The sequence below is a fragment of the Homo sapiens genome, chromosome Y (assembly GCF_000001405.40).
Source record: "Homo sapiens chromosome Y, GRCh38.p14 Primary Assembly".
NCBI classification, from domain to species: Eukaryota; Metazoa; Chordata; class Mammalia; order Primates; family Hominidae; genus Homo; species Homo sapiens.
In genome coordinates this window covers 22,783,912-22,801,882 of record NC_000024.10, presented here as the reverse complement: position 1 = coordinate 22,801,882, position 17,971 = coordinate 22,783,912, and the positions used below count along the sequence as shown (strand labels likewise).

At 40.8% G+C, this 17,971-nt stretch overlaps 1 long non-coding RNA gene across 2 annotated transcripts; it reads right to left on the bottom strand.

The window, feature by feature from the left end:
- Window positions 1-4,431: 4,431 nt before the first annotated feature.
- On the bottom strand, window positions 4,432-15,669 carry LOC107987348 (uncharacterized). Of its 2 annotated transcripts, none has more exons than XR_001756081.1 (3): window positions 15,214-15,669; window positions 7,080-9,712; window positions 4,432-6,438 (listed from the first exon to the last, which is right to left on the bottom strand). It is a non-coding gene; the product is annotated as an uncharacterized LOC107987348 (long non-coding RNA). The 2 variants fall into 2 exon arrangements; XR_001756080.1 differs by having other exon boundaries at window positions 7,080-9,244.
- Window positions 15,670-17,971: the final 2,302 nt, after the last annotated feature.

Genomic DNA, 17,971 nt, shown 5'->3' with positions numbered 1-17,971 from the left:
CAGTTATAAAGAGCATAGATGTGATTCTTACTCTTTAATTTTATAGCCAAAATCTGTTATTATGTAGGTTTGACAGCAGAATGTATACCCTTTCTGTCACTTTCCAAAAACTCAGTGTAAGAATTGGCTGGAAAAAATCTTTTGTAGAGCTCCTGACTGCAGTACAACAAATATCCCTTTAAAAACCTTAAACTCAGGCCTTAAAGAATTTTCCTAAAGTTTAGATGATTCACATAAATATAAAAATATTGAAAAGTCATGAAAGAAACCAACACGAAAAATATAAGGAGAAACAACAAGAACCATTTGAGAAATACTGCAGATCCTTTAATAAGCAGACATTGAATATAACATAACTAGCTTAATGAATTTTAAAAAATGAAACATTAATATTAAAAGTGTGGTCAAGTATTAAAAGATTATCTTAAAGGTTAAGATAGGTCTGAAAATCTGGAGAGAAAATAGAAATTTTAGATGCAATAAATACAATACTTGGAAAGTAAAAACTCAATAGAGCATTTAGAGAACAAAAGTCAGAAACAGTTTAATTCCTTGAAAGGCTTGAATGAGTAAACTTAAAATCAAGAAGAGAATTTTATTCTCAGAAAAGAAAGAAAAATTCATAACCAATAAAATGACTTAAAAATGCTGAAAGATTTTCTAGAACAGAGACTTTCTCTATAAGAAATTTCTGGGAAAGAAAGAGAGGTCATTCTTGAAGAAACCTAGTAAAACAATGGCATGTAGTTATCAAAAACAGTGGATAATAATAATACATTTCATATAATTTAATGAAATAAGATAGAGTTTAAAATATTATATTAAAACATCCAAAATAAAAAAATCAAAATAAAAGATGATAAGGTCTTGAATTTTTCTTAAAGCTGGTAAAGATCTTGATTAGATTTAAACATAATTAAGATATATTTCTTCAAGTCATGACAATATATAAAATGAGGAAAAAATACAACAGTTTAATACAACAAATTTTAAACAGGAGATGAAAGTGAAACCTAAGGACTAGAGCAAATATAAATAAAACTTAAAATTATAAACATATATCTAAATATTTGAATAAAAAGTTTAAATAAACATGCGTACTAAAAATATATATCTTTCTAAAAACTGGAGCTCTGTGCTGCTTATGAAACTTACATCAAACACAAGGCAAGAAACAGTTAATAAATTATGTAAATGGATATACTGGGTAAATTCCATGCCCTAGCAAACACTGCATGTTTTCAGATTTAAAGCAACAATTGATACTAAAGGAAAAATTATGGTAACCTAGATAACAAAACTTTCAGTAGACTAGGAGGATAATACAGTTTTAATCTACACTTCTAAAATATAGACAGCAAAAATTGTTTAAATCATAATATTCCAAGAAATTTAAAAATTAATTAAATAATTTAAACAATTCAATTAATTATTTTAATTAACTTTAAATTAATTGAAATAATTAGTTGATTCAATTAATTATATCAATGAATTACATTATAATGAAACATTTTAATACAACACTCCAAGATTATTGGTTCAGCAGAGGTTAAACTATGTAAGAAGCTATTTAAAAAACTTTATCCAATAGGCAGTTACAGGATATAGTATCTAGCAATGCACATTGTTCTAAAAACTCAGAAACATTTAAAGACATACTATGCCTTAAGGCAAGTCTCAATACATTTCAAAGGTCCATGTATTATCAAGAACACATTCTGATTCCAATACAAACAATTATAAAAATATACATATTTTTAATCATGTAAATTGGAAATACATAATACAGACTTGTTAATAACATATAAAAAACAAAATTTGAAATACAGAACTAAATAATAGTTTAAAATATTAAGTATCAGTACTTTTGGAATCCTGATAAAAGAAAAGTTAGTCATAAAAAAAAGGTTAACGTTTGGTGTTTCATGAAGAAATAAAAAAGGTGGCACTAATATGTGAATCATTTGTTATAGTTAGGAAAGGAAGAAACATGTACACCAAAAGAAAAAAGGCATAAATAAGAAAATAATGAACGAAGAGCAGAAGTTAATCAAATAGAAAAAGAATTAGTTCTTTGAGAAGATAACGAAGCTTACAGATCTCTGACCAGATTCACTGGGGAAAGAAAGAACACATAATATTAAGACATAAAGAAAGGGTATGCTCAGCTAGGCAGCAGAAATTTAGAAATACAGCAGTATTAGAAACATCTTTACACAAACAAATTTTAATTCTTCAGTGAAACAGAAAAGTCTCTACAAAAAAGTCAGTTACCCAAACTAGGAACTAGGAAGAACTAAGAAACTGCACTTACTGTAGCATTTTGAAAAAAAATGTGTCCACATTTAAATTATCCCTATAAAAAAGTATTAGAATCAACTGCTTTTATAGTTGGATTCTACTACACATTCAAGGAAATAAATATTTCTGAGAAGTGAAAAAGAGAAGAAAAACAATCCTAATTAATTTTCAAATGAATAATGTCTTGTTACTACTTTCAAACAAACAGCATAAGAATTAAAAACAAAAAAGATTAATTTTACTTCACAACAATGTGAAAACATGAGCAAAATATAAGCGTATTATTTTGTTTTCACACAGTTGTAAAGAAACACCTGATACTGGGTAATTTATAAAGAAAGGAGACCTAATTGGCTTATAGTTTCTCAGGCTGTGCAGGAGGCATGGCTAGGAGGTCTCAGAAAACTTAAGATTATGTGAGAGGGCCAAGGGAAAGCAAGTGTGTCTTCACATGGTGGCAGGGAAGAGAGTGTAAAGGGTGAAGTGCTGCACATTTTCAAAAAATTCCATCTCATGAGAACTCATTTGCTATCATGAGAACCTAAAGAGAAATTCTGCTCCCATGATCCAATCACCTCCAACCAGGCCCCCCTCCAAAACACGAGGGTTAAAATTCAGCATGAGATTGGGTTAAAACAGAGCCAAACCATATCAATGAGCAAACAAATGTAAGGTTATACATCATAACCACATATCTACACTAAATTTATTTCAAAGAGAAAGGAGGGGCTCAACTTAAGGAAATCTATTTATTTAATGCATCATACGTATATATTAAAGTAGGAAAAAGTATAATTACATCAATGAATACAGAATAAACATCAAATAAAACAGAATAGCTATTTATAATAAGAGATTAAAGTACAAATAAAGAAAGTGTTCCTTATCAGAAAATACTACCTTCAAAATCAGAAGAAAGACTAGAAGGCTCGCTATTACCATTTCTCTTCAACATTGTCCTGCAGATTTTTAACTTGTAATATGAGACAAATAATACTAATAAAAATACTTTAATATATAAGAATTGGAAAGAAAGAAGTAAAATATTCCTCATCTGTAGATGACATGATTACCTACATGGAAAACTTCAAAGAACATACAAATCATATATACTAATAAGAAAACTTAGAAATTTTTCTAGATGTAGTATTAAGATGTCAAAGTTGAAACTACCTACCTATAAGAGAAAGCCACAGGATGGCCAATTACTTGAGTGATAATGGAGGCTTTACTTCCATTGTGAGATGTGTGATATTAAAGTATACATAATGGTCCCTCAGTATCAGTGAGGGATTGTTTCAGGACATCCATGGATACCAAAATCTGCAGATTCTCAATTTCTTGGCATTAGATAATGTAGTATTTGCATATAACTAACTGTCTAGCTCTTAAAGAAGGTAGCCATGATTCACTGCAGTAGGCACTAAAAAGAAGGCCCTTCTATTATCAAAGGAAATTCTCTGGGAAAGAAAACGGCTGAGGCCACATCTAAAGAGGTAACATTGTTACAGGCCACTGGCTAATGTCAGATACTGCACCCATGTTGGGAACACCACACTGTACCCACGAAAAAATTCAATCGGCAGAACAGAAAGGCTTACAAAAGAATCCCTCAGGATGGTTGCTAGAATGCAACAAAACTCTTTCTCCCTGAGGCAATGCAATGAAAAAGAGTTAATCTTTTATATGACTCCTCACTTTTGGGACAGGTCTCAATATACAAGTTATTTTCTCAAATCATTTAAGGAAAGAATCTATTCCAGACTATAAAGAGGACGGCCAGGGCCTATGATCTTTGTGACCGTAACAATCCAGGAAGCTACTCCACACTCCTTCCTCTACTCAAACCTTTACAACATTGAGGGGCATACACTGGAAAGCCTGTCAAATAGAATTTTTTGTTTGTTTGTTTGTTTTTGACAAGGAGTCTCACTCTGTCGCTAAGCTGGAGTACAGGGGCACGATCTCTGTACACTGCAACCTCCACTTCACAGGTTCAGGAGATTCTCCTGCCTCACTCTCCCAAGTAGCTGGTATTACAAGCACGTGCCATCGTGCCCAGCTAATTTTGTATTTTTAGTAGAGATGGGCTTTTGCTGTGTTGGCCAGGATGACCTCAATCTCCTGACCTCGTTATCCACCCACCTTGGCCTCTCAAAGTGCTGGGATTACAGGTGTGAGCCACCAAGCCCAGTCAGCAAATAGGGTTTTATCAGATACAACCATACAGGTGAAGGAAACATTTGCCTGTTTTTATAGACACCTTCACCAAGTGAATTGAGGCTTTTCCCACAAGGACAGAGAAGGCATTATGAGTGTCCAAATTTTTACTTAATAAGATCAACTGTAAAGTTTCAATTACCTGAAAGTCTGCAGAGCGATAATGGAACTACCTTCACAGTTAGAGTGACCCAATAGATTGCATTCAGCTTTAGACGTTACCTATCACCTTCACTCCCCATGGAGTACTCAATCCTCAGGTAAAATAGAAAAATCTAATCATGTTTTGAAAAGACATTAGCTAAGTCATGTCAGGAGACCTCAGAGACCCAGGTTCCTCTCTTAGCCATAGTCTTTATACACATAGGAATGACCCTTAAAATACTTCCCAAAAAATCCACTTGAGGCGAGTTATGTGAGGCCATGTTTAGCTTGGGGTCTCCTGCTTAATAAAGAGATACATAGTTAACTCATAAGTTGACACATATTGTCAACTTAAGCTAGGTTAGAAAACTCCTCCAAGCCTATGGACAAAAAGTATTGTCCCCTCTCACAACACAATTAACTGGCCTCCTATTCAATCATGAAACTTTGTAAACATTTTGAAAGAAGCATCCCCTGAGAATCAATTACAACCAAAACAGAAGGGCCCCTATCAGGTGTTGTTGACTATCCCAGTCCTTTTAAACTTTAGGGCATACCTAGTTGGATACAATTGTCCAGGATTAAACCTGTTTCTTATAAGTTGCAGGCACAAATGGAGGACACTGTAACCTAAATCTAAATTTTTGGAAGATCGCCACTACCTACTTAAAAGTATCAACAGTCATTCATCCAGAATTGGCAACATAATGCTGCCAGTGGGAATAGAGGGTCTTCCTACTAGGGAAGACTGAGAAAAACACAATTGAGCTCCTGAATTTTCTAGAAGAGGAAGGGTATCATTGTCAGTTTCACAATTTTCTGTGAAGAAGGGTATTTCTCTCTTTTTCCACCTTTTTAAAATCTATCTTAGGACCCTTGACAGCTGTATTGTTACTAATTTATTTACTTGTTTGTTTAGCCTCATAGTAAGGTTTGTATCTTGTAGATTACTATATTTCCAGGTGAAAACAACGCTGGCTTAAGGCTTTTGAGTTATCTTATGTACTGACCTGGAGAATTATAATGTTGTTTCTCCCCTTTAGCTCATGCATCCAGAGAAATTTACTTCTCTAGTGCTAGGCAAGGCCAATGCTCATGACTCAGCAGGAAGCAGTTACAGTGCATGGACCTCCTCCCTCCTGCAGCCCCCTTAAGATTAAGGGAAAGTAGTTAATGTCTGAGTGGAGAATGAGGTTGAAGGTGGGACTCAACTCCAGGGGTAGGGCTCACATAGGATCCAGATTGAGGACTAACTAAAACAGGGACTAGGCAGAAGGAGTTTTCAACCAGACATGCCCACCAGTCTGCCGTGTCATTTTACCATTGCCGCTACAACACACAGGAGGTACCACCCTTCTATGGCAATGATCCAATGATTACCACCCCTTCCCTATAAATTTCTGCACTTCTGCAATAATCCATGCATTTAAAAGCAAATATAAATATGACTGCAAAATATCCCTGACCTGTTCCTCTCTTGCTATGGTGTAACCCTGTTCTGAAAGACGAGTCACAGAGCTGTAACACTGCAAGAGCTGTAATTCTGTCTCATTGTGTCCGGAATTGGTAGGTTCTTGGTCTTGCTGACTTCAAGAATGAAGCCGCGAACCCTCACGATGAGTGTTACGGTTCTTAAAGATGGTGTGTCTGGAGTTTTTTCCTTCAGATGTTCAGATGTGTCTGGAGTTTCTTCCTTCTGGTGGGTTCATGGTCTCACTGGCCTCAGGAGTGAAGCTGCAGACCTTCGTGGTGCTCATACAAGTGGCACAGACACTAAGAGTGAGCAACAGCAAGACTTATTGTGAAGAGTGAAAAAACAAAGCTCCCACAGAATGGAAGGGGACCCGAGCAGGCTTCCACTGCTGGCTCAGGTGGCCTGCTTTTATTCCCTTATCTGGACCCACCCACATCCTACTGATTGGTCCATTTTACAGACATCTGGTTGGTCCATTTTACAGAGAGCTGATTGGTCCATTTTGACAGCCTGCTGATTGGTGCGTTTACAATCCTTTAGCTAGACACAGAGTGCTGATTGGTGTGTTTATAATCCTTTAGCTAGACAGAAAAGTTCTCCAAGTCCCCACCAGATTAGCTAGACACAGAGCGCTGATTGATGTGTTTACAAACCTTTAGCTAGATACAGAGCACTGATTGGTGCATTTACAATCCTTTAGCTAGACAGGAGGCCAGCAGAAGGAGCCAGTCCCAGCCTCAACCAGCCCCAGAGAGGGGCCCCCACAGGGCAGTGGCCAGTTGAAAGGCTCCTCAAGCAGAGCCAGAGCGGATGCTGAGGTGAAGGAAGCACCAAGAGCGAGCGAGGGCTGCTAGTATGTTGTCACTTCTCAATCCCCCCTCTAAACAGGACACCCCAACTGCTGCTGGGAATTTGGCCAATGACCACTCTAGCTACTCACTGCTGGATAGAGGTGAAGAAAGGGCCCTTCAGTTGTAGTGTCCTCCAGAGGGGAACGCTTTAGGCCAGTGGAAGGGCCAGCGTGTTGGTCCAGGGGTCCTCAGTAGAAGTTGTTAGTTGAGCTCATTTGGGTTTCCATTTGTAAGACCATCTGTAGCTTCTTGGCCTCAATTCCAAGGAAACAAATTTGAGAAGCAGGTTAAAAATACAGGGTCCAAAGGCGAGTAAAAGCAAGATGGCTGCCACAGGACCTAGAAAGCGGAGAAGCCATGTTGCCCAACTAGAGAGGTTGGTATGAGTTTGAAAGGCATTGTCTGATTTCAGAAACCATTTCCTATAAATGCTGGGTGGCATCTCGTACTATCCCTGATGGCTTAGTGTAAAAACAACACTCTTCCCCTAAGAAGGTGCAGAGTCCTCCTTTCTCAGCAGTGAGGAGGTCTAGGCTTCAGCGGTTTTGGAGAGTCACTGCAGCTAAAGAGTCTATTTGGGATTGCAGAGTAAGGATAGGTTCGTTATTTCTTACAAACCGCCTGAGAAATCCTTTGAGAGTATGTGGTAGTAGGATAATGAAGTAGATATACTGGCTCTTCTGGTTCCTGTAGCAGTAGCCATTCCTAACCCTATAAGTAGGTGGTATTTGTTGTATGGCCCTGTGCTGATGGACTTGAGCTTTGAGGGGTACTGATAAGTTTTGATTTCCTGGGGCAATGTTAATGTTGGAAGTTAGAAAGACTAAGTGCAGCTGTCTGTCCACTTAGTGGGGAGGCAGATATAGGTCGATGTTCCACATAAGAAGAATATACCTTGGCTGGGTAGACAGAACTGGTTGTGTATGTTAAAAAGGTGTGTGAATTTGTTGTTTTCTTTTTCCCATACTCCTAGAGTACTTGCCAAGGTAGCTCCAGTGACTGGCTGGCAAGGGGTGTTGGGAGAAAACTGAATGGCTCCCTGTGTTCTATTTTCCCATTGGAGAAAAAAACGTTTTGTATCCACTAGGAACAATTTGAGAGAGTGATTGAAAGAGGGGATGAGAAGGCATTCACTAGTGGTGGGGGCACTGCTGCAGGGGGCCCAGGGGTGAATGATCATGCAGGGAGTATGTTTGCCATTACAAGACCTGGACCGTTTGTTAAGCAGGGAGGCAGTGATGATTTTGGGGCCCTGAGAAGCAGACAAGCTGTCTGAATGGAGCTGTTTGGGTTACTATGATCAGTTGGGGCTTGAAGTTGTAGGGTGTAATTACACTGATGGGGTAGTAGGTGCCCCAGGGGCAGGCTCATAAGAGGTTGCATTGGCTGCATAAAGGAGCTTGGAAAGTTAAGATAGTATTCATAGCTACAGGGCCATGTATGGGCTTTTCATTGCTTGCATAATAGGTGTGGTTGGAAATCTAAGAACGTAAAAGTTGGATTGCACATCCTGTTAGGGTATTCTTGATCCTATCAGAGATGGGGAAGTTGGCTAACGATTGCATATTTAGAAGTCAGAAAGGGTCTTTTCCTTCATAACAAGGGTGGTAGGTTAAGTTGGTAAAGATGCAATTTTTGGCAGGAATGGGAGTGGCAACATAAGAAGAGGTTGATAGGGAGACACAAAGCCAACAGTCATTTGCCAGGGAAGGACTGGACTGGTTTAACAGAGACTGGGTTAAGTTGAGAGTCTTGTAGAGGAAATTAGGAAAAAGTGGAAGGGGAGGGGTGATTATATGAGGTATCCAAGGAAGCAGGAGGGATGCATAGGCAAAGAGCAAATAGGAAGGTAAAGAGGATGCTCTGGAAGAAGAGATCATTTTCTCGAGTCTGAGTTAAAGGTAGGAGTAAATTGCTGTTAAAAGAAGAAAGATGGAAGGTTGATGTGATTAGCATTTTCGTACTGGCAGGAGCTAGAGTATATAATCCTATCACAAAGAGTATGGTTAGTGTGTTGTTTTCACTTATCTTTTTTAAGCAGGAAGGAGTTTTTCCTCAGGATCAGTGGTAGGAGCCTTTTTAGTGTGGGATGTTTCCTTCTGAAATAGAAGATGCAAGTCCTCCAATGGTTCACAGGTGTATCGAGGCTGGTCTGGCTGATCTTGGGACTCCTGAGCTGACGGTTCCACAGGTTCCTCAGGGGACGTCCAAAGTTTAACTCAGGTGTGGTAATCCAAGTTTCCATTCCTGCCACCTTAATCGCAGTGAGAGTAGAGAGGATTACCGAGTATGGTCCTTCCCACAAAGAGTTGAAACAACTCTGTTCCCTTTTCTCTGTGACATCCTTCAGGTAGGTTTTTAAGGTTTTGTTGATATTTTGACAAAGAAGTTATATCTTTGACCAAGTAGGCCATTTCCTGATCCAGTAGGGGGTCTTTTGTGAGAAAAGATCGTCCATACAGCATTTCATATGGACTGAGCCCCATTTTGTGAGGAGAATTTCGGATTCTCAACAAGGCAATGGTCAAAATAGCTAGGCCATGGGAGATGTGTTTCTTGTGTTAGTTTCCTTAAGTGTCTCTTAAGTGTTTCATTTGCCTTCTTGACCTTCCCTGAGGATTGTGGCCTCCAGGCACAGTGAAGGTGATATTGTATCGCTAGCACCCTGGAAATTCCTTGAGTTATCGCAGCCTTAAAAGCCAGACAATTTTCACTCTGTAAGCTTTGGGGAAGCCCAAATATAGAAATTATTTCATGAATTAGGAGTTTAATCACTTCCTAAACCTTCTCTGTCTTGCAGGGGAAAGCTTCTATCCAATCTGTAAAGGCATCAACACAGACCAACAAGTATTGAAATCCCTTTGACTTAGGCATATGGGTGAAATCTAACTGCCAGTCCTTTCCAGAATAGTGACCTATTCTTTGCTCTCCCAAAGGGGTCTTACTATGGATGAAGGGATTATTCCTTTGGCACACCTAACAGGCTTTGACTACCTGTTGGATGGTTTGGAGAAGATTTGGCCCTGTAAATAGGGATTTGGCCATTTGATGAGTGTTTTCAATACCCATATGTAAAGTTTGGTGGAGGGTTTTACGTATTTTCCACTGGCTGGCTTTGGGTATAAGTACCTTTCCTTCTTCTGTAGCCAACCTGAGGGGAGAAAACTATGCCCCCATGAAATTCCCCACTCTGCTTCAGGTGGGGAATACTGAGGCTTAATCTCTTGGTGGGGGTTTGTTCCATACTAAGGGTCCTTCCATAGGTATTTCTAAAGGGGGATTCTGCCTGGCAGGAATTTTGGCCTCAGAATCAAACCAACAGTTTCCTTCTGACTTTTCTCCTTCACCTTTCTGATGGTTTTGGCAGTGTAAGACTGCCACCTCTTTGGGTTTTTCCACTGCATGCAATAACTGTATAATTTCCTTGTGGTATTTAATGGGGGTCCTCACAGAGGTTAGGAACTCCCTTTCTTTCCATATTGCAGCATGGGCATGTAGGATTAGATAACCGTACTTGCTATCTGTGTACACATTTACTCTTTTTCTTTTTCCCAGTTCTAAGGCTCGGGTAAGTGTCATTAGTTCTGCTAACTGGGCACTGGACCCTGCAGAAACAGGCTTACTTTCAAGTAAGGTTAGTTCACTAACTATAGCATAACCTGCCCTTCATATCCTGTTCTTCACTAATGAACTTCGATCGGTACATAGGTTAAGGTCAGGATTAGCTAAGGGGACTTCTAAGAGATCATCTCAGGTGGCATAAGTCTGGACTATAATTTGTTGGCAGTCATACTCGATGGAGTCCCCATCCTCTGGGATAAAAGTGGCAGGGTTGAGGGCCACACACATATGTATTTGAAGAACTGGTCCCTCAAAGAGTAGCACCTGATGTCTAAGTAGGCAGTTTCCTTATAGCCATACACTTCCTTTGGTACCTAGTATGCCATTTACATCATAAGCAGTACAGACAGTGAGATTCTTTCCTTGTATTATTTTGATAGCCTCTGACACTAAGACCACCACCACTGCAACTACTCATAAACAGTGAGGCCAGCCTTTTGCTACTTCATCAATTACCTTACTTAGATATGCCACTGGTTGTGGGGTTGTCCCACGAGTCTGAGTAAGGACTCCAAGAGTGATCCCTGCTCTCAGTGATGTATAAAGAGCAGTTTTATCCTTTGGAAAGGCTTAAAGCTGGAGCTTGTACTAGGGCCTGCTTTAAGGTTTTGAAGACTATTTCTGCCTCTTGTTCCCATTCTACTAGATGAGCATTTGCTCTCTGGGTCTCCTTGACTAGAGTATAGAGGGGCCAGGCTAACTTGCCGTTTCTGGGGATCCATAGTCAGCAAAAGCCAGTGACTCTAAGGAACCCTCATAACAGTTCTAAGGTCTTAGGGTGAGGATGAGCCAGTATAGGCTGTCTTCATTCCTTGCTGAGGGCCCTGGTCCCTCTGGCTAAGACTAGGCCTAGATATTTGACCTGCTGTAGGCAAAGCTGGGCCTTTGACCTAGACACTTTGTATCCTTGATTAGCTAGAAATTTCAAGAGATCTAGAGTAGCCTGCTGGTATGAGGCTTCTGAAATGGTAGCCAAAAATAAATCATCCACATACTGAAGGACCAGAGTGCCTGGACTTGAGAAGTGGCCTAGATCTTGGGCCAGTGCCTGATCAAACAGATGAGGGCTATCTTTAAATCCTTGGGTCTAGACTGTCCATGTAAGTTGGAATGTGTGATCTTGCAGGATCCTCAAAGGCAAAGAGAAACTGCGAGTCAGAGTGCAGGGGAATACAGAAGAAGGCATCCTTGAGGTCCAGAACAATGAACCATTCTGCTTCTTCTGGTATTTGACAGAGCAGGGTATAGGGTTTGGGTACAACCGGATATAGAGGAATTAGTGCCTCATTGATGAGTTTAAGATCTTGCACTAATCTTCACTGACCATTTGGTTTTTGTATTCCTAGAACTGGGGTGTTGTAGGGACTGCTGCATTTCCTTACTAAGCCTTCAGCTTCTAAATGTTTAACAATATCCTGTAATCCTTTATGAGCTTCAGGCCTTAAGGGATATTGCCTTTGACAAGGAAAAGTGGTGGGATATTTTAGCCTGATTTGGACTGGGTGAACATATTTTGCCCTTCGAAATTGTCCTTCCAATGCCCAGACTTCAGGGTTGATTCCCTCCTCAAGTAGGGGACAACAAATGAGTAATTTACTCCCCATATTCATGTAGATAATGGCTCCAGCTTTGGCTAATATATCCCTCCCTAGTAAGGGTGCAGAACTTTCAGGCATAACAAGAAAGGCATGTGAAAAGAGCAGCCTCCCAATTACAATTAAGGAGGTGGGAGAAATACCTGGTTACAGGATGTCCCAGGATTCCTTGGATGGTAACGGACCTTGAGCACAGTCATCCAGGACAGCAGATTACCACTGAGAAGGCTGCACCAGTGTCCAGAAGGAAGTCAATTTCCTGGCCACCAATGGTTAAGCATATCCAGGGCTCAGTGAGGGTCGCAACGTGAGCTGACACTTGCCCAGGGCACCCTCATTCCTGTTGTTGGATTATCTGGTTGGGGGCCTCTGACCTAAAGAACCTTTGTCCTCTGGGGCAGTGCACCTTCCAGTGATTGTCTCAGCATAGCGGACATGGATTACGGGGTGGCTTGTTCCTCATTGGACAATCTTTTTTAAAGTGTCCTTGTAAACCACACTGATAACAACCGCTACCAGGTGATTGGCCTGCTCCATTTTCTGTCCTCTCTGAACCAGCAAGGTTTGTCTGTCTGAGGTCCATGACTAAGGCTGCGGCCTTTCTCTGATCCTGCTTTTCCTTTTGGGCCTGTTCCTCTTAGTCGTTATTATAGAACATGGAGGTTGCCAGGTTTAATAATGCCTCTAGATTTTGTTCAGGGCCAAGGGCTTGCTTTTGCAGCCTTCTCCTGATATCTGTGGCTGATTGGGTAATAAACTTATCTTTTAGAATCAATTGACCCTCAAGTGATTCGGGTGACAGGGGAGTATATTTTCATAAGGCCTCCCATAGCCACTCAAGGAAGGCAGAAGGATTTTCTTCCTTTCCCTGAGTTATGGTGGACATCATTGAATAATTCATGAGATTTTTCCTAATTCTCCTTAGTCCTTCTAGAACACAGGTCAACAGATGTTTACGACTCCAGTCCCCCTGATCTGAGTCAAGATACCAGTGGGGATCCATACTGGGGATGGCTTGCTGACTGGTAGGGATTTTTTCCCTTTCTTCAGCTGTCATTCTATCACTTACTTGGCTAAGATACCAGGTATCTCCAAACTCGGGCTGCTGCTAAAGACACATTCTTTTCATTAAAGGCCAGGCTTTTGCCTAACAGTAGCATAACATCTCTCCAAGCGAGGTCAAAGGTTTGCCCTAGACTCTGTAGGACATCTATGTACTTATCGGGATCATCTGAAAACTTCCCCAGGTCTGCCTTGGTCTGCTTTAAGTCAGAGAGGGAGAAGGGTACATGTATCTGAGTTGGACCAAATTCCCCTTCCCCTAGAGCTTGTAGGGGGCATAACTGATAGTCTGGAGGGTTTGGGGTCCTTTGGAGATTTCTTTGCTTATTTCCTTCTGGGCAGGGGAGATAAGAGGAGGCTTATCATTAATAAGAAGGGGAGCTGTAGGGAGGCTAGGATATGGGGGTAAGCTGAAATGTCCTCCTGTGGGGTGTAAATTGCAAACTTTGCATAGTTGTGTATTCTCCTTCAATGAAAAGAAAGCTTGGACATAAGGCATTTCACTCCATTTGCCTTCCCTCTTACAAAAGAGGTCAAGCTGTAGGATAGTATTGTCATTTGTACTTCCCTCAGGTGGCCATTTTTCCCCATCAGAGGGAGAATATTGGGGCAAGCCAAAGTGCAGAAAAAAATGAGCCACCTACTTTTCAGGATTGGTGTGTCAAATTGGTACCATTGGCTTAGGATGCATTTCAAGGGTGAACCTCTTGATGCCGGAGTGTTTTCCATCTGAAAGGCAAAACTGCCTATGGTTTTGTTCTGTTTTGTTTCTCCCCCTGCCCAAGAACCCACAATGGTCCCTGGACACTGCTGATCAGAATAGTTGTGCTCACTGATGCAGCAGGAGGGACAATGCCTGCTCAAGATCCCACAACAGTCCCTGGACCCTGCTGATCAGAATAGTTGCACTCACCAATGCAGCAGCAGAAACACTAGTTTTCCTCCAAGACCACAAGGAGGAGTGAAGAAGGTCAGATTTAGTGGCCCTTTCTGATGCATTTTGGGAAAGCTGCACCCTTGCCTGTCCTCCTAGCCCACAAGGAGGACCAGAAAAAATTGGATTTAGTGGCCCTTACTGATGCATTCTCAAAAACCTGTTAGAGTCCTAAGCATTCTCCTCTTAGTACTGGGACCTTATCTGTGTCCTATAAAGATATTATGCCCAAAAAAAGAAGTGGAGGTCCATAACCTGAGGGAAGGAAATGATCTCCAGGTTTGGAAGTGTGACACCTTTTGTCCTCACTTATGTGAATAAGAAGGATACAATTTCTGAGGCTCCCCATATCCTAGCTTCAGCAATAGCTTTTGTTAGGCCTGCTAGTCTGAGGTGGGATCCTAAAATTCCAGATATTTCCCCCTGCAATGGGGCTTTGGGCAAAAAATATGTTTTTCTGATTGGTGAGCCCAGGTGCCTGAGGAAGGTAACAGAGTCCTGAAGCTTACACTAGAAATCATATTATAGCAGAAACTAAGGAAGCACCAGAGACAGGGAATGGTTTTTAGAAGTGGGGCTAGCCTCAGAGAAAAGTGGCAAGAGGAAGTTTGTCTGGCAGGCATTAGGACCCAGGGGCAAGTGTCAAGATAGATAGGATAGATGGACGAGTCTCTCTTGGGCAACATGCCTTTGAGAGTTCTGCTCATGGCTGCAGGGTCAACCAACTTGTTGTCAGGACCCTGGAGCCGAATGGCTTTCCTCTCTGTCAACCCTTGGCTTGGCCCAGAATTACAGGAAAAGTGGAAGCTGGTTTGAGGCAAACCAACGCTCCCAACTCCAAAGAGTCGGGGGTTGTTAGAGAGCCCTTTTCAGAAAGGCTGACACCCGTGTCTTTAGTCCAGCAGCCACGCTAGTTGCTTTTAACTGGCCGAAAGTGCCCAATATTTAGCCCCAGAATTCTAGGGAAAAATAGCACATAATAGCAAGAGAAAGGGGTCTGATGGTACTCACCACTTGGCAGTAGGTGATGATCTCACCAATAGGCGATGGTCTTACCACTTGCTGATAGTCTCACTGCTTGGTGATAGGCGATAGTACCTTTGTGATTGCCAAAATGCGTCTGGAATTGATGGGTTGTTGGTCTCACTGACTTCAAGAATGAAGCTGCCAACCCTAGTGGTGAGTGTTACAGTTCTAAAAGATGGTGTGTCTAGAGTTTGTTCCTTCAGATGTTCAGATGTGTCCAGAGTTTCTTGCTTCTGGTGGTCTCACTGACTTCCGGAGTGAAGATGCAGACCTTCGCGGAGACTGTTACAGCTCTTAAAGGCAGCTTGTCTGGAGTTGTTAATTCCTCGTGGTGGGTTCATGATCTCACTGGCCTCAGGAGTGATGCTGCAGACCTTCACGGTGAGCTAATAAAGGTGATGTGGGCCCAAGTAAGGAGCAGCAGCAAGATTCATTGCAAAGAGCGAAAGAACAAAGCTTCCACAGCATGGAAGGGGACCTGAGTGGATTGCCACTGCTGGCTCGGGTGACCTGCTTTTATTCCCTTATCTGGCCCCACCTACATCCTAATGATTGGTTCATTTCACATAGAGCTCACTCGTCCATTTCACAGAGAGCTGATTGGTCGGTTTTCTCAGAGTGCTTATTGGTGCATTTACAATAACTTAGCTAGACAGAGTGCTGATTGGTGCATTTACAATCCTTTAGCTAGATACAAAAGTTCTCCAAGTTGCCACCAGATTAGCTAGACACAGAGCTCTAATTGGTGCATTTACAAACCTTTAGCTAGACACAGAGTGCTGATTGGCACATTTACAATCCTTAAGCTAGGCAGAAAAGTTCTCCAAGTCCCCATCTGACCCAGAAGCCCAGCTGGCTTCACCTCTCAATGGAACTCACTGGGGACTTTGTGGCATCTAGCCCAGGCACTCCAGCAGCCCAGAGGGAGCTCATCCTCTGATCAAGCCCAGCAGGTGCTGGCCAGCTTCGCTGAGTGTGGGGCCCACCCAGCCTGCACCCACATGGAACCAATGTCAGCCCAGGAGTGTCATGCACAGCCCTGGCTCCCACTGGCACCTGTCCCTCCACACCTCCCCGTGAGCAGAGGGAGCTGGTTCCACCCTCAGCCAGCCACAGAGAGGGGCCCCCACAGTGCAGTGGCAGGCTGAAGGGCTCCTGGAGCACAGCCAGAGCAGACTCCGAGGCCGAGGAGGCACCAAGAGCAAGCGAGGGCTGCTAGCACATTATCACCTCTCATCATCAGCTAAGCTATTTTTTTTTTCTACTTCTGGTTTGACATTGAATTCTTTCCTGAACAAAGCCAAGAAACCAGGAGGCTTAGCTCTGTTTGCGGCTTGCCTCTCCTGCATTGTGTCTACTATTCCATTCCAAGATTTAGTAAACTACAAATTAAGCAGATGAAGTGAATACAATTACTTTAAATGCAAAAGTTAAAGGTCACCAAAAAATTCAACAATCAACACTAAGAATACTTTTTAATGCAATGTTTTCATAATCCAAAATAATGCATAATCATAAAAAAGTATTATAATATTTTTAAAGATGGCACATTATTGATTCTTTATTTTGCTTAATGCTTCAGTATTCCTTAGCATAGCATTCATATTGATACTGATCTTATCTTTCCATAAAATATTTTGTCCAACATTTAATTTTTATTAATAATTATTTATGACGATTGCTCTGAAATACAGATCTTAATTACTGAGGCTTTTAAATCAATAAATCTTAGTAGAGTAGTTTTAGCCTTATAACAAAATTGAGAAGCAAGTAAAGAAAGCTCCCTTACACCCTGTGCCCACATGTACAACCTTCCCCACTATCAATATCTCTAATGAGACTGGTATGTTTGTTACAATTCATAAACCTACATCAACACTTTATCATTCAATATCTGCAATTTACATTAGGACTCATTTTTACTGTTGCACATTCTATGAGTTTTGACAAACATGTAATAAAATATATCCAAAATTATGGTATTATGTAGAATAGTTTCAGTATTGTATACTCTAATAATTACCTGAGTTGTGCCTATTTATTGTACTCTCCCTTGTAAATCATTGTGACCACTAATCTTTTTACTTCTTCAATAATTTTTTTCTAGATTGCCATATATTTGAAATAATATGTGTAGCATTTTCTGATTTGCTTATTTCACTTGTAAATATACATTTAATTTCCTTCCATGTCTTTTCATGACTTGAAAGCTCATTTTTTTCAGTGCTGAACAGTGTTAGATAAATAGTCCATAAACCACAGTTTATCCACTTAACTACTATACAACATGTCCATATGCAAATTTTGATGTAAACATGTTTTTAGTTTAGTTGGAAAAATTCCAAGAAGCAAGACCGCTGGATGAGATTGAGAGAGTGTTTAGTTTTGTTAAAAGAAAACAAAGCCTACCAGACATTCTTCTAAATTTGCTGTTATCAGTTTTTAGAATTTTTGCTATTTAATGTTTAATTTATTATCACATTCACAACTACCCAATAATATATGATGGTTATCATCCTTTCATATGCTCATTCCCTTAGTCTTAACTATTGGGGAGGCAAAGGAAAAGGATACGTGAGACTTGGAATTGGGAGGCTGCAGTGAGCTATGATGGAACCACTGCACTACAGCCCGGGGACAGAGACCCTGTCTCAAAAAAAAAAAAAAAAAAAAGAGCAAACAAAAGAAGAAAAGAAGGAAGGAAGGGAGAAAGGAAAAGAAAGAGTAGACAAGGGAAGGGAAG